The sequence below is a fragment of the Homo sapiens genome, chromosome 22 (assembly GCF_000001405.40).
Source record: "Homo sapiens chromosome 22, GRCh38.p14 Primary Assembly".
Taxonomy (NCBI): domain Eukaryota; kingdom Metazoa; phylum Chordata; class Mammalia; order Primates; family Hominidae; genus Homo; species Homo sapiens.
In genome coordinates this window covers 19,830,987-19,854,903 of record NC_000022.11, presented here as the reverse complement: position 1 = coordinate 19,854,903, position 23,917 = coordinate 19,830,987, and the positions used below count along the sequence as shown (strand labels likewise).

The window sequence follows — 23,917 nt, the reverse complement described above, 5'->3', positions numbered from 1 at the left end:
TGGGGGCGTGGCTGCGCGATGTAATCGGTCTCTGGACGCTGCGCGGCGCTCCTAGGAGCAGGCGTTCCCGACTCCGGCAAGAGGGTCAGTGTGGAGGCGGGAGCCCGGGCGGCCGGCTTGAACTCCGTGCACGCGGGCCTGGAGCTGCGCCCCTGCGTCTTTTCCCGACTTCTGATCCGCAGAGGGGCACTCGGAGCCCCAGCCTGGGTCGCAGTGCCTTCGGTCTGCGGGCCTCAGTTTCTCGGTCCGCGCCGGGGGTTTGTGGGGGCACCTGGAGACATTTGGGCCGTTCTCGCAGTCTCGGGAAGCCGCGCCCGCTCCTTGCCTGGCCTCACGGCGGCCGATCTCGTTCTCCACTTTCTAGGTGGCGCCTGGACTCTCGCCCTCAGAGGGAGGCCCGTCCCACGGTCTGTGGCTACGGATCCCAGGACCCTCTTCGCGGGCGATTCGCGTAGCCTCAGGTGGGTGGGCTTCTTGTTGCCGTGGGCCTTGTGAGCTCGTATTTCCTGCATGGCGGTTGCTGGGGGGCGGGCGGTGCAGTCGTCTGCACTCAGCTTGCTTTAAGGCTTTGGGCAGGTTTTGTTCTTGGGGCTCCTGGGTCTCCCCAGAGCAGAGAACGGCTCCAGCGTTCCAGGTGCTGCCTTTGGCCTTGTGGGGGCAAACACACATGCGCCGTGGTACCTGCCCCTTTAGGATAGTGCTGTCCAGTCTAGAAGGGCCGAAAGTCTTCTATGCCAGGCAGTGTGGGGAGAAAAGTAGGGGGACCAACAGACTGATAGGCGTGGGAGGGCTAAGGTTCTCAAAATGGTGAGAGTGCGGCCCAGGGTTAGGAAGGCTCAGGCCCAAAGCAGGCCTGGCTGGCTGGTGCAGGGAAGCCTTCTCCCAGACTGCAGGGGACACAGGTGCGCAGGTGAGTGGGCAGGGTAGGGGACTGGGAAGAAGGGAAGGCAGAGATCTGGGTAGCACACTGTGGCTCCCGGGCATGGGGTGTGGTCATTGTGGGCAACCTGGATACCTAACCTTGGCTGGTGGTGGGAGCTGGGCCCTGGATCGGGGTCACTGCTTTTTTAGAGCTCAGTGAGGGACTGGACTGGACTCGACTCACGTCCAGGCCTTAGTATAATCCTGCAGTAAGGTGGGAAGCCAGGGTCATGGGCTGGGCTTTCAGGTGAAGACCCCCCCCCCAGAGGGGGGTCAGACCTGAGGGATTCCAGAGTGTTTGGGTGGTGGAGGTAGGGCCAGTGGCCCTGGCAGGTTCTAGTGCTGCAGGCCACCCTGGGAGGTACCTGGAGGAACTCACCCTGAGGGGGGATGGCCAGCAGATAGGAGATGTGGGATGAAGGTGTGTGCAGGCCTTGTGCTCCCAGTGAGCCGGTGGCGTTTGTGTGTGGGGTGAAGCAGAGAGTTTCCTGGAGGTCGTGAGTGGGCCTCCGTTTGCAGAGAGACTGGGGAGGGGGCTAGATAGAGTTAGGCTGCAGAGTGTAAGAGCCCTACAGGAGGGCTCCTTGCACTGGAATAGAACTGGCTACTGGCTCTGGAGCCTCCTAGGTGACTGCTGCGTGGAGAAGGAGGGGCGGGTCCAGCCATCAGACTGGGACTCCCCAGACCCTGGGCACAAGTGACTGGAGTGGCGGGAGCAGACAGCAAGTGGGGTTCCAGGATTTTACAATGGTGGGGGCTGGGATGCTCTGCTGTGGCTGGGATGGGGACTGTGGAAAGGTGGTGTTTGTGGGTGGGGGTGGCATTGCCTGCAGGTGGCACTCAGTTGTGAGAGGTGAATTTGGAAAGCATGTGGGGTCAGGAGGGAGCAGAGAATAGCAGGCTCACTGCTCTGTCGGGGAAGCAGGTAGGACCTGCTGTGTGCCTGGTGCTGGGATGTAAAAGAGCCTAATGACGACGCGGTCTGTGCGTTGTTCAGAGTTTTTGGGGCGGCTAGAGCCTACTCAGCAGACAAATGTAGTTTATAATCGCGTGCTGTATAGTAGTTAAGCCTCTGGTCTCTCCAGCCAGTTTTTGCTGCTTCCACCACTTATGGGTTAGTGTGTGGCTGCAGACAAGTTACTTCACCACTGTGTGCCTCAAAGACAATGCTAGTACCAACCTCCTGTGGGGGAGGTGGCACAAATGGGGCACTCAGTGAAAGGTTACTACTATTGCTATCCTGAAATTCCTGACAGTTCTGATCTGGCCCCTTTTCTTCTGAAATTGACAGCATCTGTCATTCTGCCTTGCCCTTGCAATGTCATAGGCAGCATTTGCCCACCTCAGACCTCCCAGGCCAGCCCCCTGGGCCCCTCCTTCCATTCAAAGCTCCTAGTTGGGTACCAGAGGGTTGCCCGCTTGTAGCCTCTTCCCACCAGTCCAGTGGGTGATGGTTAGGCCTAGTTCCTGCTCTTCCCCACCTTGTCTTTGGACAGATTGCCTCGGATGATGGCCTGCGACTGACAGTCTCTCAGCTCTTCTCAGCTCTCCTGAGGCTGCAGCTGTCAGCTCCCTGATCCTCAGCACTTGCCTGGACCAGTGCGGGTCTGCCACGCCCTGTTCAGCCATCCCTGTCCTGTTGTGTCGTGCAAGCCACATCTGTCCACACCCCCACCACCCACCAGTGCTGGCTCTCCTCTCTTCTCCCCTGTGCTCCCAGCATGCCTCGTGGCCGGTGCCGTCAGCAGGGCCCTCGCATTCCCATCTGGGCAGCCGCCAATTATGCCAACGCACATCCATGGCAGCAGATGGACAAGGCGTCTCCTGGGGTGGCATACACCCCCCTTGTGGATCCCTGGATTGAGCGGCCCTGCTGTGGGGACACCGTGTGTGTGCGAACGACCATGGAGCAGAAGAGCACAGCTAGTGGCACTTGTGGCGGTAAACCTGCAGAAAGGGGTCCCCTAGCTGGGCACATGCCCAGCTCCCGACCCCACAGGGTGGACTTCTGCTGGGTACCAGGCTCAGACCCAGGCACCTTTGATGGCTCCCCGTGGCTACTGGACCGCTTCTTGGCCCAGCTGGGCGATTACATGTCCTTCCACTTTGAGCACTATCAGGACAACATCAGCCGTGTCTGCGAGATCCTCAGGCGCCTAACAGGCCGAGCCCAGGCCTGGGCAGCCCCCTACCTTGATGGGGACCTGCCCCTGCCTGACGATTACGAGCTCTTCTGCCAGGATCTCAAGGAAGTTGTTCAAGACCCGAACAGTTTTGCTGAGTACCATGCTGTGGTTACCTGTCCCCTGCCCCTGGCCTCCAGCCAGCTGCCAGTGGCCCCTCAGCTGCCTGTGGTGAGGCAATACTTAGCTAGGTTCTTAGAGGGCCTGGCACTCGACATGGGTACTGCCCCCAGGTCTTTACCAGCCGCCATGGCCACCCCTGCTGTGTCTGGGTCCAACTCTGTATCTAGAAGTGCTCTGTTCGAGCAGCAGCTGACCAAGGAGAGCACCCCTGGGCCCAAGGAGCCCCCAGTCCTGCCCAGTTCTACATGTAGCTCCAAGCCTGGTCCTGTGGAACCAGCCTCTTCCCAGCCAGAGGAGGCAGCCCCCACACCTGTCCCTAGACTGTCGGAGTCAGCTAATCCTCCTGCCCAGAGACCAGACCCAGCTCATCCAGGAGGTCCAAAACCCCAGAAAACAGAGGAGGAGGTTTTGGAGACAGAGGGAGACCAGGAGGTGTCCTTAGGTACCCCACAGGAGGTGGTGGAGGCCCCGGAGACCCCAGGAGAGCCACCACTTTCTCCTGGGTTCTGAACACAGCCCAGGTGGGAACAATGCTGCCCCTCATGATGAAGTGGCCTGTGTGGCTTGAGCGCCCCATAGTCCCCAGTCAGAGCAGAGTGGTGTCCCCAGATGACTTCAGACCCCATAGCTGGGCAAGATGCGCTTGTTTTGGACTCTGCGCTGAGCAGAACCAGCTCCCCCAACTCCAGCAGAGCTTGACCTCCGCCCTGTGCCCTTTCCCTGCTGCTGGCTCTCTGCTGCATCCCTGCCCGTCTTCTGGGAGTGCCGTCTCACCCAGGCCTGCTCCCACGAGGGGGTCGTTTTGTAGATCAACTCTCAGCAGATAGTTGCATCATCTTTGTCACCTCCACCCCCATAAAACACCCCCCTTGGTGTCTTCCACACTGGCTGGGACTGAACTGGGTCTGCCACGTCTGCCCTGTTGGGACCTCGTTCCTGTATGGGGTTTCTGTGTCTGTCCCCCTAGCCCCACCCTCTCTGCTCCCTGTGACTTCTGTCCCAGCTGGAATGTGAGGAAGGCTGCCTGGAGGAAGTGGCCACTTTGATTCTGGGGGATGAGTGGGATAGCATCTTGGCAAAGAATGATGTTTCCTGTGGGATTACCAGCAGTTCTGGGCAGCTGGAAGGTTTGGATGCAGGAAGGTGGGATGCAAGCCCCTTGCCAGGCTCAGCTGCAGGCATTCGCCCTTTGTGTGTTAACACTGTAGCTCTAATCGTGCCTGGTGTTCTGAAGCAGGCTCCTCTTCCCTGCTGCTGTGCTGCCATCCCCTGCTCACTCCGCACTCGCATGCATTGCGGATTCAGCACTTAAGCCCTAGTGTGTAAATGACTTGGATCTCCCTCCTGGCAGACTGTGACCCTCAGCACAGGGGCTCTGTCTTAGTCAGCTCTGTGGCCTGGTACACAATTGGTGCTCATTAAACACGTGTTGGATTACTGGCTGAGGTGGTGCAGTGGCTGCCTACCAGCAAGTCTTTGTTTCCCATTCTGTCAGGAGCAGAGGCCTGGCCATGAGCATTCCAGGTCAGCATTGCAGCTGTGGTTTCTGGCAGGGGCTTTGAGGGTCCAAGGGTCTGATCAAAGAAGCTGGGTGGGGCTGAGTAGGGGGTGGGTGGCTCTGCAGGTAGAGAACTGACTTCCGAGAGCTGTAGGTGAAGTGAGGACCAGGCAGCAGTCCAGAGCTGTGAGGCCCCAGGCCCAGAGGAATGGAATGAAGAAAGACCTGTTCCACACAAGGAGGGGTTTTCTAGTGGAAGCTGAGCTTGGAAGCTCCTGGAGCCAAGTTTACCACAGGATAGGCAGGTACAGCCGCCCAGTGTGTGCAGTGTGTGCCCACTCTGGTGCTTGGACAAGAAGTTCAAGTCCCTTTCAGGTTTACAATTGTGAAAACAACAAAACAACACCTTCCTGGAAAGTAGGAAGAAAAAGCAGAAATGTGAATTGGAAATACAGCCAACTATTTTAGGAAAAACTAATTAGCAAGCATCTGATTAAACTTATTCAGAAACTGGCCGGGAGCAGTGTCTCACACCTGTAATCCCAGCACTCTGGGAGGCCAAGGTGGGTGGATCACCTGAGGTCAGGAGTTCAAGACCAGCCTGACCAGCATGGAGAAATCCATCTCTCCTAAAAATACAAAATTAGCCAAGTGTGGTGGTGCATGCCTGTAATCTCAGCTACTTGGGAGGCTGAGGCAGAAGAATTGCTTGAACCCAGGAGGCAGAGGGTGTGGTGAGCCGAGATCACGCCATTGCACTCCAGCCTGGACAACAAGAGTGAAACTCCATCCCAAAAAAAAAAAAACAACAAAAAACAAAAACCTTATTTAGAAAAATATAAATTGTTGGGATTATTTTATGGTAACTATCACTAGAAAAGGCTCTGGGTTCAGATGGTTTTATGTGTGAGTTATTTCAGGGCACAGATACCTTGTAGGTAAAACAACTGGAAACCTTGGAAATAGGTGGGAAGCTATTTTTAGAAAGCAGGTATAGCCCTGGTAGCAAAGCAAGTGAGCTGGCAGAAGAAACCCATTTTCAGTCTTGATTCTGGTCAGATGTGAGAAGTCCCTGGATGTCCTGGCCCAGCCCCATGCTTCTGTGCCAGGTCACAGCTGCCCTCCGTCCGATGACTCAGGCCCCATCCCCCCTTTTGTGGGTTGGGTCAGACTGCTCCCTGATGCCTACCTCCAGTGCACTGTGGCCTGGCTCACCTGTGGGTCTGGCAGTAGAACCCAGAGTTGCTCTCTAGGATGGACAGCCTAGTCACCCAGCTGACCTTTACCCTGTCCCACAGGCTTCTGGACAGGCCACCTTCCCCATCTCCCTTTAGTGGACCTGAAGTGGATACTCCAGCCTGGGATTGCTGCCTTCTCTTTTGAACCCTGTCCTATTGGGGCTTTGGGGCTTTTGTGCCCTTGGGACCCAGGCAGCTCCTGGGGGTGTGTGAGTTATGGTCTGCCGTGTGTCTGAGGGCCAGTCATGCAGCATCCACCTAGGCAGGCTTGAGAGTCCTTGGGAGAGTCCAGGTGACCTGGTTTTTAATTAAAACGCGTCCTGTTTATTGTGGTTGGGCTCTGCCCAGAAAGGAAGGTAGGGCCTTGAAGTGGTGATGTCCAGGTTTCCTGCACAGGTAGGGTGGAGGCAACGATGGACTCTGGCATGGCCTTCCAGACAGGCAGTGCACACAGCTCCTTTCAGAGTGGCTTTGTTGCCAGCTGCTGCAGCACCTGCTTTCAGACAGATGATGACCAAGCTGCTTTCCTGCTGGGGGAAGGAGGCATTCCCCCTGGGTTGTTTTTCTCTTCTGGCCCCCACACACTGGCAGACCCGAAGGCAGGGTGCTCAGGAGCTGCAGAGCCTGGCAGGGTTTGCTGGACATGCTCAGGGACGGGCCATGGTGCTGGCTCTGCTTTCTAATCATGGTGTCAGTCCTTCACTTCCCTTGGAAATACCCAGAGATTTTATTTCCTGAAGATAGGACATGATGGGTGCTGTGAGATGGTATTTAAAGTACCTGTCTGCAAGGAAAACTTTAAAATAGGAAGTACTAAGGATAAGGTCCTATGGGATATTGGAATATTTTATAAAGCCACAATAGTTAAAGCACTTAGATGTGGACAGATGAGCAGAGAATAGAGGACTTTGAAACGGGCCAAATAAATATGGAAATTTAGTACAGGCTAGAGGTGTTTCCAATTAACGAGTAAAATGGATTATTCAGTAAAAGCAGTTGGCCCTCTGGAAAATAGTAAAGCCATGTATGTGCCTCACTCTTTATGCCAGTACATATTCCAGATTAAAGATTTCAATGTTACAATTATGAAAGTACTAGAGGAAAATATGGGTGAATTTTTTTTTTTTTTTTTTTTTGCCTATGATTCCAGGATTTTAAAAGTTTTAGATGCCCAGAGTTGTGGAGGTATGGAGAAGTGGACCTTCTCATACTGTTGGTGGGAATACACAATAATATAATTTGACCACGTAACAATTCTAGGCACATGCATGCTGTGACTACTTGCTAGGTGCATGAAGGCTCTTGCCAGGGGTGGTCATGGTTCGGTACCACTACATGGGGGTTTAGAGCAGGGACTGGAGGTTGGCCTTGCCTCCTCCCCTCCCCGCATGAGCTGAGGGTCCTTACCTGACCTTTTTGAGCTGTGACCAGAGTTTTTCCTCATGGGGTGGTTAGAAGGGTTGAATGAGAATGATGCCCATGCAGTGCCTTGGCTGGGGTCTGGGCCCTCTAACACCCACCTCATGGGTGTCACTGTTTTTTGAACAGCAGAACTGGAAAAGCCCAAAGATCCAGCAATAAAGGAGCAAGGCAAATAAAGCTGTTACCCTGCAGGATCAGTCAGCATGAGCCAGATTGTGCTGCAGTAACAAAGATCTCCAACAGCGCAGCGGCTACAGTTGGCACTGCTTATTTCTTGCTTGCACCTGTGGGCCACCGTGGCTGGGGCCTGTCAGACCTGTGCTGACGACAGCCTACCTGGACATATTTCTCCATGCTCACTGAGGCAGGGGAAAGGCCACAGCAGGCCACAAGTAATGTGTGTCACCCCACTTCCATTTCTGTGGCCAAAGGAAGCCACAGAGCCACACCTGAGTTCCATAGGACGGCAGCAGCTGATCATCCTATGGGCTGGGGTGCTCAGTATGGAGAAGTACAAGCAGCCACCCAGCGTGGGGCTGGTTGGTGCTGCTGAGGATGGGAGGATGGGAGGGGCCTGCATCCATCCCAGGGCAACATACCTGTTTGTCTGCTGGGGCTGCCTGACAAAGGACCGCAGGCTAGGGGACTTAAACAACAGACATTTCCTCATGATTCTGGAGCTAGAAGCCTGAGATCAAGGTGTGGGCAGGGTTGGTTTCTCCTGAGGCCTCGCTCCTTGGCCTGCAGATAGCCATCTTCTTGCCGTGTCCCTGTCTGTGTCTGTGTCCTAATCTCTCATAAGCTCACTAGTCTATTGGATCAGGGCCCACCCTCATGACCTCATTTAACCCTGAATTACCTCTTTAAAGACCCTGTCTTCAAATGTAAGTACTAGGGGTTAGGACTTGAACATAAAAATATTGAAGGGACATAGTTCTGCCCACAGCGGTGCCCGCGATAGGCTTCTCTGGTTTTGTCTTTGCTGTTCCTGGCAGCGCTATATTGGGCAGGCTTCTGTGGTCTCCACATGCCTGTGTGCAGAGTCCCCCAGGCCCTGGGTTCTGGGGCCCATACTGAGGAGTGGGGATGGCCAAGCCTTGGCTGTTGAGTAGGCAGTGCCCAGTTGTGCTGTATGGGATGCTGTTTCTCACTTAAGAAATCTTTCCCTACCTGGGGGGTACAAAGGCATTATCCTGTATTCCCAGGTTGTAACTTTCTGCCTTTGACATTCAACCTTGAGTCCACCTGTAAGTGTAACTGCGGCAGAAGGGAGGGGTCTGCTGTCATCCTTGATAGCCTGTGATGAGCAGAGCCCCTCTGCCGACCGCGATGCACATGTAATATGAGCAAGAAATAAATTTTTGATGTGCGAAGCCACTGAGTTTGGGGCTTGTGTTTTCCACAGCATAACCTATTATGTCCTGACCAACAGGGGATCCCATTTCACCTTTTTCCATAGGGCCTACCTCAGCATCAGCTGCTGGCTGCAGCAACTCACAGTCTGGCTGCAGCCACCCGTGAGCCATGCCTGGCCTACCCGCCTGCTCTCTGGTCTGATCTGTCCCTTACTAGTTATTCTAGCTTTTAAGTCTTGCTTATGTCATAGGGAAACCATCCATGTCCCCATTTTTCAAGTTGTCTTTGCAAGTTTTAAAACACATTGGATCACAAATGCAGAGGCAGCGAGGATGGTGTCATGGCCCTTGCCCAGCCCCAGCAGTGTTCACACTCTCCTGGTGCAGGCCTCGGGGGTGCCTTGTCGCTGGACAGCCTGGCCAAGCCTGCTCTCCAGGACAGCAGGGCCCGTTGCTCCCTTAGTTTTTCTTTGGGCTACATCATCTCTATTACAGGGACACGGTGGGTAGGGGCTGGCCAAGGAAGAGCCCAGGCCTGTGGGGTGTTCTCATTGGCCGGCTCCTTTCCTCCTGGCCTCAGGAACCACCCCCAGCACAGGGCTGGGGCCTGTGGATGATGGGTGCTCATGCACTTGCCACATTCTTCTGTGTCCCCATTGGTGGGGCTGCCAGCTGGGTGCACAGGACATCTGACTCCCCTGCCCCCTGCTGTGCCTGCGCTGCCCACCTCACCTCTGTGTCTGAGCACTGCAGGGGACTGGGGAGTGTTTGTGGGTTGTGGAGCCAGGGCTCTTTATTCACAGGCTGTGCATAGGGGGGGCCCTCAGTGAGGGGTCCACCTGCAGCACCCACAGGGCAGAGCGAGTGGGAGGCTGGCCTCTGTCCTCATTCGCATGTCTGTGGATGTGGGCAAGCACATTGCTGGCATGCATATGTAAGCATGTGCACAGCTGACTGCATGCAGCTGGGTGGTCGGGAGTTGATGAGACATACACCTGGCCACACCACCACCTGTGTGTGATAGGGGACCTCCCCTTTCCACCCAAGGTTGCCTCCGCCACAGGAGGAGCCACACAGGCAAGTCCCTGTCAGAAAGTGTCAGCCCCAGCTTGCTTAGGGACCCCTCCTCCAGCTCCGACCAAGTTTCCAGGGCACATCCCCATCCCCGAGGCCAGGGGCACCAGCCCCAGGGGATTGGTCCCCATCCTGCACCCTCTGTGAGTGTTGTCTCTCCCTGATGGGATCGGCAGCTGGCCTACATGAACCAGGCCTCTGAGCAGAGGCTGAACTGGTGCACGGGGATGTCACGCTTCCTGTAAAGCAGTGAGCTTTTCCGTGTGTTCACCCGGGTCAAAAAGGCCGGTCCCTCTGCTGGCTGGGTTCCTGCCTCTGCCCGTAAGTGCCTGGGGCAGGCTGGCTAACAATGTCCAAGTCAGGCTTCCTTCCTGCCATCTTGCCAGGCTCCTGGGACCCGCTCCTGGGGCGACGGACATCCCCAGCCACAGCGTGAGATGCCTGCTCACAGAGAGACCCCGCCTGCCCATCCTGCCTGCCTCTGCAGCCTGGTGGCTCCTCACGCTGGCATTTCCTCTTGGCTCAGCTGAGGCAGCCCGTGTCCCAGTGCAAAGGAGAAGTCTGACTTGCAGCCTCAGCGCCTGCCTGGCGCCCCTGCTGACTGTGGAGCTGGCCAGCAGGTCACTCCTCATGCCCCAGCCATGAGGCTTCCAGGCATCCCCAAGGAAGAAAACTAATCCATGTCCTTGTCTCCATGAGACCCACTCCCCCTGCCAGCGTGGTGGGTGGTTGGTGGCCACGAGGACCCAAAGTGCTGGCAGAGCACCCAGCAGGGACTGGCAGTGCCTCGGGGGAGAACAGGCTGCAGTGGGCTGTCTAGAGGAACTTGCTTGTCTCTGCTCGGGAACGAATCACGCCATTTGGGCGTGTCCCCAGCAAAAGTGACTGATCTCTGGGACCCTCCCTCACACGCAGCAGGGCCTATCTGGAAGGGGGCGGCACAGACCTGGTGGGGTTCAGCATGTAGGCACCGTGCTGGGCCCCACCTGGCTCACTGCAGGCCAGGAGTCCTGGGTGGGGCACTGTGGGTCTCAGTCTCTGGAGAAGTGCTGGTGGCCAGCCCTGGGGCACCTGGGCCACTGCCCCAGGTGAGGTGAGGTCAGTGCCGGCCCCTGGCCTGAGGCAGTGAATCTTGCTGGGGGGCAGCTATACCCTAGGGGAGCAGGGTGGAGGTGCTTTGCCAGAGCAGAAGGCCCCTGTGGCAGAGCAAATGACCATTTCTCTAGGATGGAGAACAGACTCAGACCCAGAAGGGAGATGGGTGGCTGTCCTTCGTCGGGGCCTACAGGACTGTAGCACTCTCATCTCCACTATGGAAATCGTGTCTATGGCTGGAATCTGAGTTCTGCTTTGCAGATTTGCCAGCTTACCAGTGCTCTGGGCAGCCGGGGCTCGGGTTCCCCTCCCTGCACTGAGCTGGTTCAGGGCTTTGTGGGCCTCAGGCCAAGTTGTCAGTCAGGGCCACTCCCTGAGACGGATATGCCTGATGCAGGCCTGGAGGTGCTTTCTTCTCCAAGGGAAGGAGTTCTTGGGGGGCATACCTTATTCCCCGCCACAGAGAGACTGACATCGGTCAGCCCTGGGAGGTGGGAAATTGCTGGGGTTGGGCTGTGCACTTGCTGCCCGGGGGGCGGTGCCTGGCTCCCCCTCGCCATCGGGCTGCTGGGCACCGGCCCTCCCTGCCTCCCTGCCTCACCGGAATTCTTCCTGGGATCTGCATCTTTGAAGCCGCTGCCTCCCTGCCCGCCTGGGCGCTTCCAAAGGCGGATACTGACAGAGGATTCAATGAATCGAAGGTCGCCAGTCGGGGCGTTGACAGATGCCCAGCCGTGATACTATTTCTGATTTAATAACCGAATGGGAGGCTGGCCCTCTGTAATAATTAGGGCTAATTACTGAGGAGGTGTTGACAGACGGGCTGAGAGGAAACAAACTACCTTTATCCCGTGGCTTAGAGTCAGATTACCAGCCCGGTGCTATCTGCCCCTCAGAAAGTAGACGCTTCAATCACTCAGCGAGGCTTCAAAGGGGAACAGGGCCTGACAATGCACGGGATTTGGAAAGGAGCTATGAAGTGCGCCTTTGACTCCGAATCGCCAAACGGAGCCCCATTCCAGAAATGGTTTCTTTGTGAAGTTTGAGTTAGTGCTGGTAGACCTGTTTCCCGTGCTCAGGACAGGGAGCTGGCTGCAGTGGGAGTGGGCAGGTGGGGGCCATGGCCAGGGCTGTGGCTGCTGTGTGGCCAGCTTGAGCTGCTTAGGTCCTTCCCAGGCCAGGTGACACTAGCAGAGTCCTGGTATCTCCAGTAGCTGGCCCTGGTAGCCGTGGGTCCAAACAGGGAGGTGCAGCATGTTTTCCTTGCCCAGGGAGGGTTTCTGGTCCTTTGTGGCCGTGAGTGGCAGGTAACAGGATAGGGACCTCACCATCTGAGCAGGCTCATCCCTTCCTGTTTGCAGCTAGAGTGCAGCTTTTCTGCAGCCCTCCCTGGCAGGTCTGGCCTCCCTTGAAGGGGGATGTGTCCTTGGCATTATTTATGGCAGGACCACCTCTTGGGGGCCTGGGCATTACTCACCAGGCTGCTCCCACCCCCGTCCTGGGCTGAGAGCCAAGGCCATGGAAGCAATCCTGGCCCCCGAGGCCTTGGTGGGCAGACATCAGTGACTGAGAAGGGTTGTTGGGGGCTAGTCTCTGACTGCCCCCACTGACTCCCCGCTGATCTCCCTGCATTTCAGAGATGGGGAAGGGTGTATCTAGACCTCAGTTTCCTGGTTTGAAGCAGCAGCACTGAGATGTGTGCCAGTGAACTGACTGGGATAGCCCAGGGCTCTGTGTCTGATGCAGCTTCTTGGAGTGGTGTGTGTGAGGCTTTTTGGGAGATCAGGGTCGCTGGCTGAGGCTGCAATGCAGCGGACAGTTCTGAGATTCTGGGCCTTACTGCTGCTGTCTTCCTCACCAGGAAGGCAGGGGATGACACTGAGGTCTCTGCTCAGGACAGGCCTGTCCAGGGAGTGCCTTTCTGGTTCCAGGTGTAGCCTGGGAGGTGCCTGATGAGCAGGAGGTGGGAGGGAGCCCATTCACCAGCCACCTGTGTGCCTGCCTCAGGCCTCATGGCCTTGGCTTCATGTTCTTGCTGGCCTGGAGGACCAGCCAATTCAACATCTTCATGCTAGAACGGCTGTGCTACTTCATAGAGAAATTAGGTGGGCTGGGCTGGTGAAGCGCAACAGTGGTTAGATCAGTGCTCTTTCTGTCCCCAGCTGGCTGGGGACACCTTCTGGAAGTAACGATGGTCATAAAAGTCATCAGCTCATTTGCTTAACCGAATAACTACTAGCTTGTACCAGGGGGCACTGTTGATGAATTTATATTAGGGCAAAAATAAGATAGTAAATTATTTGGAATGGGAAAAGCGTGTAAAAGTTGACATTAAGTCTGTTTTGTTTGTTTATTTTAGAGGCAGGTCTCTTTAGGCTAGGCTGCAGTGCAGTAGTGTGATCATAGCTCACTGCAGCCTTAACCTCCTGGGCTCAAGTGATCCTCTCCTCCTGCTTCAGCCACCAACATAGCTGGGACTATCATGGCGGGCACCACCATAACTGGCCGATTTTTTTAAATTATTTGTTTGTAGAGATGGGGGTCTTGCTATGTTGCCCAGGCTCATTAAGTCTGTTTAAGTCACCTTGAGTAGAGATAGAAATTGACTCCAAAGCCAGAAACAGGAATTGAAGTTTCATAATACATTAGTGTAAATTAAATACCATTAACTGTAACACAAGAAAAAATAGCACAAGAATCTTGTACAATATATTTTATTTGAAACATAACCTGTGAGACTGTGGCCAAGAGCAGTGGTTGAGTGTGAACCTTGTGCACGGACGCATTTCTGAGCCCTTTTTCCTGTCAGCATCTTGCTCTGCGCATGACTAATGGACTAGGATTGATGCATTGTTAGTGACCAAAGTCCAGGCTTCATCCAGGGTTCCTGAATTTGCCCTAATGTCCTTTTCTGTTGCAGAATCCCATCCAGAACCCCACACTGCGTTTGCTCTCCTGTCTCCCCAGGCTCCTCTGGCCAGGACAACTTCTTAGACTTTTCTTGTTGTTGATAACCTTAAGTTTTGAGGAGCACTGGTCAGGCTCTTGTAAAATGTTCCTCCACCGGGATTTGTTGTGTTCTTCTCACGATTAGACTGAGCTTAAGGGTTTTGGGAAGAAAAGCACAAAGGTTGAATGCCATTCCTGGATGGATTTTCTTTTTCTTTCTTTCTTTTTTTTTTTTTGAGACGGAGTTTCGCTTCTTCGCCTAGGCTGGAGTGCAATGGCACGATCTCGGCTCACTGCAATCTCTGCCTGTCGGGTTCAAGCGATTCTCCTGCCTCAGCCTCCCCAGTAGCTGGGATTACAGGCACGTGCCACCATGCCTGGCTAATTTTTGTATTTTTAGTAGGGTCGGCATTTCACCATGTTGGCCAGGCTGGCCTCGAACTCCTGACCTCAAGTGATCCACCCGCCTCGACCTCCCAAAGTGCTGGGATTACAGGTGTGAGCCATGCACCTGGCCCATTCCTGGATTTTCTATCATGTCAGTGGGACGTGTGGTCAGCATGACCTAGCCCTGCTGATGCTGAGCGTCATCACCTGGCGGAGGTGGTATCTGTCAGGTGTTTCTGCTGTAAAGTGGCTGTTTTTCTCTCCTTTCCGTACTCTCCTCTTAGGAAGGGAGTCACTGCATAACCCATATTTAAACGGTTGGGAGTTATCTACTCCTCCTTGATGGTAGAGTGTCTGCATAAAGTGGAATTCTTCTGTTTGGGAGATTTGTTTATTTAGTCATTTCTTTACCTCAGTGTGGACTCATGGGCATTTTATTACGACACTAGCTCCCCTCTCATCTACACTTTTGCTGAGGTTTCAGTTACCCATGGTCAATTGCAGTCTGAAAATAGGTGAGTACAATACAACAGGATATTGTAAGAGAGAGACCACATTCACATAACTTTTATCATAGTATACTTTTTTTTTTTTTGAGGCAAGATCTTGCTGTGTTGCCTAGGCTGAAGTGCAGTGGTGTGAGCATAGCTCACTGCAGTCTCAAACTCCACGGGCTCAAGTGATCCTACCACCTCAACCTCTTGAGTAGCTGGGACTACAGACATGTGCCAACACACCTGGCTTATTATTATTATTATTATTATTGTTATTATTATTATTATTGAGACGGAGTCTCTGTTGCCCAGGCTGGAGTGCAGTGGTACGATCTTGGCTCACTGCAACCTCCACCTCCTGGGTTCAGGTGATTCTCCTGTCTCAGCCTCCTGAGCAGGTGGGATTACAGGCACCTGCCACCACGCCTGGGCTAATTTTTGTAATTTTAGTAGAGACAGAGTTTCACCATGTTAGCCAGGCTGGTCTTGAACTCCTGACCTCAGGTGATCCGCTTGCCTCAGCCTCCCAAAGTGCTGGGATTACAGGTGTGAGCCATTGTGCCCTGCCCCAGCTAATTATTTTTTGTAGAGACAGGGTCTCCCTGTGTTGCCCAGGCTGGTCTTGAACTCCTGGGCTCAGTGATCCTCCTGCCTTGGCCTCCCAAAGTACTGGGATTAGAGGCATGAACCACTGTGCCTGTCTCTAATTTTTAAATTAAACTTTCCCGTAGGTATATATGTACACTGTAGGGAAAAACATGGTGTATATAGGGTTCAGAACTATTCATGGTTTTAGGCATCCACTGGGGGTCTTGAAAAGTATCCCTAGATACTTTTCATCATCATCATTCATCATCCCCCCTAGATAAGGTGGAACTACTGTATTATTGTTATTATCTTTATTATTGTGTGCGCTTACAGTGAGTCCTAACCCATGTCTGTGTCAACACCACCTCAATCAGGACACAGAAAACTTCTCATTCTCTCAAAACCCTGCCTTTTGCTGCCCTTTGGCAGTGATCCCCTCCCCCTCCTTCTGATCCATGACAGTCACTGGTCTGTCCTCTGTACCTATACTTTTGCCTTTTCCAGGATGCCATATAAATAGTGTGTAGCCTTTTACTCAGTTCTTTGGAGATTCACCCACGTTGTTGCATTTATCAATAGTTTGTTCCTTTCTGTTGCAGAATAGTATTCCATTCATCCATAGATGGTCATTTGGGTTATTTTCTGTTTTAGGAGATTATAGTTTTCACATTTCTGTTTTGGGTGGTTAGTTATAACTACTATAAACATTCATGTACAGGTTTTTGTTTGCATATAAGTTTTCACTTCTCTAGAATACATATCTAGGAGTAGAATTGTTGGGCAACATGTTAATGCATATTTAATTTTATAAGAAACTGGGCTGGGCACAGTGGTTCATGCCTGTAATCCCAGCACTTTGGGAGGCCAAGGCGGGTGGATCATGAGGTCAGGAGATCAAGACCATCCTGGCCAACATGGTGAAACCCTGTCTCTACAAAAATTAGCCGGGCGCGGTGGCAGGCGTCTGTAATCCAGCTACCCAGGAGGCTGAGACAGGAGAATCGCTTGAACCTGGGAGGCGGAGGTTGCAGTGAGCTGAGATTGTGCCACTGCACTCCATCCTGGCAACAGAGCGAGACTCTGTCTCAAAAAAAAAATAAAAATAAAAATAAAAAAATAAATAAATAAGAAACTGCCATACTCTTTTCCAGAGTGTGGGCACCATTTTGCATTTCACCAACAAGGTTCCAGTTGCCCCACAGTATTGCCAGCACTTGGTTTTGTTGGTTTTGACAGTTTTTTTCTGAATTTTAGCCACTCTAGTAGGTATGTAGTGGTATTTCATTATGGGCATAAGTTGCATTTCCCTAATGGCTATGATGTTGAGTTGCCTTTTGTGCTTATTTGCACATCTTTTTAGGTGGAGTGTTTGGCCAAATCTTTTATGCCTTTTTAATTGGATTGTTTAGTTGCTCTTGCATTTCCTTTAATGAGCACAAAAATAGATTGTGCAATTAAATTGCGTATGCAATAAACTGCACATATTTCAAGTGGACAGTTTGACAAGTGCGGCGTCTGTGACGCCATCCCCACGCTCAAGACAACCAACATACCCACTGTGCCTAAAGTATCTTCCTGCGTCTCTGCATGCCCCTCCCTTCTTCCTCCCTGCACCTCTCTTCTCCAGGTTCCCTTTAATCTGCTTTCTGTCACTGTAGGTCAGTTTGTATCTCCTAGAATTTTGCATAAATAGAATCACAGAATTTACTCTCTTTTTCTGGCTTCTTTCACCTGACATGATTATTTTGAGATTTATTCACATTAAAGCATGTATCAGTACTTCCTACTTTGTCATTGTCAAGGATGGATATATCCAGGTGTGGATATAGCTCTGTTTCTTCTGCTGTTGATGGGCATTTGGGTTGTCTCCAGTATGTGACTGGTTTTTAAAGAAATAGCCAAACTTTGTTCCCAAGGGGTTGTACCATTTTATAATCCCATCAGCAGCGTATGAGAGTTTCAATTACTTCATAAGCTTTCCAGCAACTGGAATGGTCAGTCTTTTCTGTTTTAGCCATTCTGATAAGTAGGTAATGGCATTTTATTGTGGTTTTAATTTACATTTTCCTAGCGACTAAAGATGTTGAGTATGTTTTCATGTCCTTATTTGCCATTTGCATATCTTCTTTGGTGAAGTGTTTGTTCAAATCTATTGCCCATTCTTAGTGGTTTTATTTTGTGAGTGTGTTTTCCTTGTGGATTTTGAAAATTATATATTTGGTATATAAATTATCTGCCATATACATCATTTGAAAATATTTTTCCCCATCTGTATAGATTGTCTTTTCATTTTCTTAATAATCTCTTTTCAGGCCGGGCGTGGTGGCTCACGCCTGTAATCCCAGCACTTTGGGAGGCCGAGGCGGGTGGATCACGAGGTCAGGAGATCAACACCATCCTGGCTAACACGGTGAGACCCCGTCTCTACTAAAAATACAAAAAATTAGCCGGGTGTGGTGGTGGGCGCCTGTAGTCCCAGCTACTCAGGAGGCTGAGGTGGGAGAATGGCGTGAACCCAGGAGGCAGAGCTTGCAGTGAGCCGAGATCGCGCCACTGCACTCCAGTCTGGGCAACAGAGCGAGACTCCATCTCAAAAAAAAAAAAAAAATCTCTTTTCAAGAGCAAAGGTTTCTAATTTTGTGGAAGGTGAATTTGTGTTTTTTATCTTATGGATTATGCTTTCTGAGGGTTTTTTTAAAAATCATGAATGGATGTTGAATTCTGCCCAGTGCCTTTTCTATATTAACTTATATGATCCTGTGGTTTTTCTTTAGTGTTAACATGAGAGTTTACATTGAATGATTTTTGAATATTGAATCAGCTTTGCATTCCTGAGATAAATGCCAGTTGGCTCCAGTGTATTCTTTTTCTACACTGTTGGATTAGATTTGCTGTTTTTCCCTCCCCAACTTGAGACTTAAGCAGCAAGATATTATTTTGTTTGAGGATTTGTATGTCTATATTCATGAAATATGTTTGTTTGTGGTTTTCTTCTCTTTCTACTAACTTTGTCTGGTTTTGGTATTGGGTTAGTGCTAGCCTCATCAAATTAGTTGGGAAATGTTCTCTCTTTTTCTGTTTTCTGGGAAAATAATTTGTAGAATAGTGTTATTTCTTCTTTAAATGTTTGGTAGAATTTGCCAGTAAAGTCATGTGGGCTGGAATTTTGATTTTTTTTTTTCCCCAAGGATTTAAACTAAAAATGTGATTCCTTTAATTGATACAGGACTATTCAGGTCTTCTCTTTCTTCACATAGTCTGTGTCTTCCAACTTTCATTTCAGCTAGGTTTATTTAGCTTGAATTTATTTGAGTTGTTCATAGTATCTCCTTATCCTTTTAATGTTTCTGGTGTCTGTAGTGATAACCCTTCTTTAATTATTATAATTTGTCTCTTCTCTTTTTATTGTTGTCAGTTCAGCTAGAGATTTATCAGTTTTATTGATCTTTTTAAAGAACCGACCTCTTGCTTTATTTTCTCATTTGTTTTACTATTCTTTAAAAATATTTATTTCTGCTCTAATCTTATTTCCTTCCTTGTGCTTGTTTTGGGCTTACTTTGTCCTCTTTTTCTGTTATCTTAAGGCATAAACCAGGTCATTGATTTGGAGACCTTTCTTCTTGTCGATGTAAGTATTTAATGCTGTAAATTTCCCTCTAAGCACTGTTTTAGCTGCATCCTACACGTTTTGATATGTGGTGTTTTCATTTGTATTTAGTTTAGATATTTTCTAATTTCCCTTGGGACTTCCTCTTGAACCCATTGATTATATAAAACAGTGTTGTTTAATTTCCAAATAGTTGGAGATTTTCATTATCTTGCTGTTATTGATTTCCAGTTTAATTCCATATGATCAGAGAGCATACTTTGTATACTTTGTTTTTTTACATTTTTTTTTTTATCGAGACAGAGTCTCGCTCTGTCGCCCAGGCTGGAGTGCAGTGGCGCGATCTTGACTCACTGCAACCTCCGCCAGCTGGGTTCAAGCAATTCTTCTGCCTCAGCCTCCTGGATAGCTGGGACTACAGGCGTGCGCTACTATGCCTGGCTAATTTTTTGTATTTTTAGGTGGGGTTTCACCATGCTGGCCAGGCTGGTCTTGAACCCCTGACCTCGTGATCTGCCTGCCTCGACCTCCCAAAGTGCTGGGATTACAGGCGTGAGGTTTTTTTTTTGTTTGTTTGTTTGTTTTTTTTTTTTTTTACATTTTTAAGGTTTCTTTTATGACCCAGGATATGGCCTATCTTGATGAGTGCTCCATGTGCATTTGAGAGGAATGTGTTTCTTCTACTGAGCGGCATGTTCTATAAATGTCAACTAGGTCAAGTAGGTAGATAGTATTAGTCAGGTCTTCTGTATGACTTCCTGACCACTTGTTCAGTCAGTTACTAAGGAGGAGTTTAAGTCTCCACCTATAATTATGTAGTTATCTATTTCTACTTTCAGTTCCATCAGTTTTTTCTTCATGCATTTTGAAGTTCTCTTATTAGCTCAGTATTTACAACTTTTGTGTCTTCTTTCTGAATCGATGCCATTTATCATTGTATCTTCTTCTTGTCCGTGATAATATTCCTCACTCTGAGGTCTACTTTGCCTGATATTAATATATCCACTGCAATTTATTATTTGTATAGCATATCTTTTTCACCTTTTTATTTTTTATAGCTTATAGTTGGGTCTTATAATTAGCATGTTGGGAGCATTTATGTTTATTGTAGTGATTGGTATGGTTATATTTAGGTCTACTATTTTGTTGTTTTCTCTTTTTCTTCTCTTCTTTTTTTTTCTTCTATCCCCTCTTTCCTGTCCTCTCTTGAATTATTTAGGTATTTTAAAACATTGTTTTGATTTTTTGTTGGAACTTTGGCAGTATCTCTTTGTGTTATGTTTTTAATGGTTGCTGCAGGGATGACAGTGTACATACTTAATTAACCCTTCACAGTCTTCTTAGAGTTAATATTTTTCCATTTCAAATAAAATATAGAAGGCTTACAACCACATAGGTCCCTTACCCTCCTCCATTATGTTATAACTGCCATATTGAAAACCTCAACAGATAATACAATTTTAACAATCATACATGTTTACTGAAGTGATAAAACCGCATTTTACCATTGCTCCTCCTACCTTCTTGAAGTTCCACATGTCTTTCTGGTATCATGTCTTTTGAACCTGAAGAACTTTAGCATTTCTTTTAGTGCAGATCTGTAGGCAAGAAATTCTCATTTGCCCTCATCTGGGAATCTTTATTTTGCCTTCATCCCCAAAGAATATTTTGCTAGATATAGAGTTGTTTTCTTTCAGTTCTTTAACAAAGATGTTCCACCCTTCTGGCCTCCATGGTTTCATTATTATTTTTCAGCAGTTTATGATGTTTCAATATTGTTTTCTTTGAATTTATCCTATGGTTCGTTTATGGTTCATCATGTTCTTAAACATATGTGCTTTTGTCTTTCTCTAAGTTTGTGAAATTTCAGGCATTATTTATTCAATTAATTTTTGGGTCCAAATCTGTTTCTCTCTTCTACTTCTCAGACTCCACTGCCCTTAATGTTAGACCTTTTACTATTATTCCACAAGTCCCTGCTATGCTAACCACTTATTTCAATCTTTTTTCTTTCTGATCTTATATTGAATAATTTCACTTACTCAATCTTTTATTTTATATTTATATTTATATTTATATTATTATTATTATTGTTTTTCTCTTTGAGACGGAGTCTCACTTTGTCGCCCCGGCTGGAGTGCCGTGGTATGATATCGGCTCACGGCAACCTCCGCCTCCCAGTTTCAAGCAATTCTCCTGCCTCAGCCTCCCAAGTAACTGGGATTACAGGCGCCCGCCACCATGCCTGGCTAATTTTTGTATTTTTTTAGTAGAGTCAGGGTTTCACCATGTTGGCCAGGCTAGTCTCGAACTCCTGACCTCAAGTGATCCACCTGCCTCAGCCTCCCAAAGTGTTGGGATTACAGGTGTGAACTACCGCGTCCGGCCTATTTTATTTTATTTTAGAGACAGGGTCTTGCTCTGTTGCCTAGGCTGGAGTACGGTGGCACGATCATAGCTCACTGCAGCCTTGAACTCCTCAAGCCATCCTCCGTCTTGGCCTCCCAAAGTGCAGAGATTACAGATGTAAGCCACCACGCCTGGCCCACTTTATGTCACTCTGTCATCTCCCATTCCATTATTGATTTTTTTCAGATATTATTCAGTTCTGAAATTCGTATTTGTTTGGTTTTTTAAAAAATAATTTCTATTTCTCTGCTGAGAGGTCTTTTCCCTCCATTCAGTTCAAGGATGTTTATTTTTGCCTCATGCAGCATAATCATAAAGCTGCTTTAAAATTTTTACCAGATATTTCCAACATCTGAATCTTCTCAAGGTTGGCATCTGTAAATTGGCTTTTTCCTTGAGAGTTGGTCTCATTTTCCGGGTTCTTTGTATGCTGAATAATTTTGGATGATATCCTAGACATATCCTGGGTTGAATAGTGTGTGAGGTCCTCCAGAGAGAGCTGAGTTTGGCGCTAGCAGGCAGTCAACCCAGTTAGATTTGCACAAGCTCCATCTCGCCCTCCGTGGGCTGTGGTTTTAATCTCATTTTTATTTTCAGAGCTTTTGACATGCTGCTTTGGTTCTGTCTCGCACATCAGCCACCCAGGGCTCAGCCTGAGACTTGAGTGTTGGTTTACTTCCCTTCTTACAGCTGGTGCTGCTTTGGGTCTGCCCTGTGTATACACAGCTCAGGGGTGAGCTTGAGGCTTCTGTGTATTTATTCACAGAATTGGGGAACTTTTTTTAGCTCTCCCCACTCTGTAGTTTCCCCCCTTGCCATCTTGCAGGGTTCCCTTTCCTTGGTTCCCCTGATCAGAAAGACAAGCTTCTCTCTCAGTCACTTTCCCCTGGGCTCTGTGTGCAGGGCCATCCCTGGGGCAGCACCGTGAGAGAGGGGGACAGTAAACCTTCAGGGTTTCCCCTCACATTCTTGGGGCCGTAGCGCACCTTTTTCTCTGTATCTCTATCTAGAAATTTGGAGTTTTATCCAAGTTTTAGCCACTGCTGCCTGGTAGCTCTGCAACCAGGGCCAACTGTAGGGCAGCACCCCAAAACACACATACGAATAACCTAGGAAACATGTCTCTGTGTAGGTCACTGTCCTAAGCTTTGCTTTCCTCCAAAACCCGGCTGGCTGCTGTTGCCCACTTTTCTGTTTTCAGAGAATTGTTTTTTGGGATTTTTTGGGGGGTGGGATAGAATCTTGCTCTGTTGCCCAGAGAGGAGTGCAGTGGCACAATCACAGCTCGCTGCAGCCTTGAACTCCTGGGCTTAAGTGATCCTCCCACCTCAGCCTCCCAAGTAACTAGGCCTGCAAGCACACGCTATCAGCCCAGCTAATATTTTTTATTTTTCGTAAAGACAGGGTCTGACTATGTTGCCCAGGCTGGTCTTGAACTCCTGGCCTCAAGTGATCCTCCCACCTCAGCCTCCCAAAGTGCTGGGATTAATGATGTTAGCCACTGTGCCCAGCCTTAGGTAGTTGCTTTTTATATTTTGTCCAGAGTTTTGAGTTGCAGTCAGCCTGAGAGAGAGGCTGTAATGAGCTTACTTCATCCTGCCAGAACAAGAAGCTTTTCTGTAGTTTTAATTTACATTTTTCTATGAGTAAGCTTTTGGTTGAACATCTTTTCATGTGTTTAATGGGCATTTTCATAGCTTTTTCTGAATTGTCTATTCATCTCTTTTTCCCATTTTTCTATTGAGTTTTTAGGCTTTCCTTAATATTGAAAAGTTTATTTATATTTTAAAGATATTAATTTTTAAATTTCTTTTGACATGCAAATGCTAAAATTTTTGTCTTTCTTTTTATTTCTTTTATTTTTTTTTTTGAGGCAGAGTCTCACTCTGTCGCCCAGGCTGGAGTGCAGTGGTGTGATCTTGGCTCACTACAAGCTCCGCCTCCCGGGTTCACGCCATTCTCCTACCTCAGCCTCCCAAGTAACTGGGACTACAGGCACCTGCCACCACACCCAGCTAATTTTTTGTATTTTTAGTAGAGATGGGGTTTCACCGTGTTAGTCAGGGTGATCTCGATCTCCTGACCTTGTGATCCTCCCGCCTCAGCCTCCCAAAGTGCTGGGATTACAGGCATGAAAAATTTTTATTTTTCTATAGTCAGAATTATCCATTTTATTTTATTGTTTTTTTTTTTTTTTAGATAGAGTCTTACTTTCTCACCCAGACTGGAGTGCAATGGCATGATCTGGGCCCACTGCAACTTTCGCCTCCTGGGTTAAAGCATTTCTCCTGCCTCAGCCTCCCGAGTAGCTGTACAAAGATTACAGGTGCTTGCCACCGCGCCCAGATAATTTTGTATTTTTAGTAGAGATGGGGTTTTACCATGTTGGCCAGGCTGGTTTTGAACTCCTGACCTCAAGTCTCGGCCTCCCAAAGTGCTGGGATTACAGGCGTTGTATCTAAATTTTGAGTCATGACAAACCTTTTCCACAACCATGTTAATAATGCAGTTCTTCCATGTTTTCTTCTAGTGCTTGGTTTATTTTTTACATATGGATCCCAGATCCACTTGGAG

General features: G+C 49.5%; 2 protein-coding genes across 2 annotated transcripts in view, besides 4 other annotated features; both read left to right on the top strand.

Annotated features, from left to right (window-relative positions):
* The first annotated feature begins 29 nt into the window (after positions 1 to 29).
* On the top strand, positions 30 to 8,758 carry RTL10 (retrotransposon Gag like 10). The gene is made up of 3 exons (NM_024627.6): positions 30 to 244; positions 365 to 461; positions 2,418 to 8,758. Exon 3 carries the CDS (start codon positions 2,643 to 2,645, stop codon positions 3,735 to 3,737), a length of 1,095 nt encoding a protein of 364 aa, NP_078903.3. The 5' UTR covers positions 30 to 244; positions 365 to 461; positions 2,418 to 2,642; the 3' UTR covers positions 3,738 to 8,758.
* GNB1L (G protein subunit beta 1 like) overlaps positions 30 to 23,917 on the top strand; it is a 71,652-nt gene continuing 47,764 nt past the window's right edge. Inside the window, exons 1-2 of the mRNA NM_053004.3 lie at positions 30 to 84; positions 365 to 461. The gene's annotated coding sequence lies outside the window, so the exon portion shown is untranslated. The remainder of the gene's footprint in view (positions 85 to 364; positions 462 to 23,917) is intronic.
* Positions 922 to 1,540: an enhancer, noted in NCBI's record as "H3K4me1 hESC enhancer chr22:19840887-19841505 (GRCh37/hg19 assembly coordinates)". NCBI's record gives its function as "activates a minimal SCP1, AML or CMV promoter by ChIP-STARR-seq in primed H9 embryonic stem cells {active_cell/tissue: H9 hESC(primed)}" and the evidence as "EXISTENCE:reporter gene assay evidence [ECO:0000049][PMID:30033119]".
* Positions 9,356 to 9,868: an enhancer, noted in NCBI's record as "H3K27ac-H3K4me1 hESC enhancer chr22:19832559-19833071 (GRCh37/hg19 assembly coordinates)". NCBI's record gives its function as "activates a minimal SCP1, AML or CMV promoter by ChIP-STARR-seq in primed H9 embryonic stem cells {active_cell/tissue: H9 hESC(primed)}" and the evidence as "EXISTENCE:reporter gene assay evidence [ECO:0000049][PMID:30033119]".
* Positions 9,869 to 10,381: an enhancer, noted in NCBI's record as "H3K27ac-H3K4me1 hESC enhancer chr22:19832046-19832558 (GRCh37/hg19 assembly coordinates)". NCBI's record gives its function as "activates a minimal SCP1, AML or CMV promoter by ChIP-STARR-seq in primed H9 embryonic stem cells {active_cell/tissue: H9 hESC(primed)}" and the evidence as "EXISTENCE:reporter gene assay evidence [ECO:0000049][PMID:30033119]".
* Positions 10,382 to 10,895: an enhancer, noted in NCBI's record as "H3K27ac-H3K4me1 hESC enhancer chr22:19831532-19832045 (GRCh37/hg19 assembly coordinates)". NCBI's record gives its function as "activates a minimal SCP1, AML or CMV promoter by ChIP-STARR-seq in naive H9 embryonic stem cells {active_cell/tissue: H9 hESC(naive)}" and the evidence as "EXISTENCE:reporter gene assay evidence [ECO:0000049][PMID:30033119]".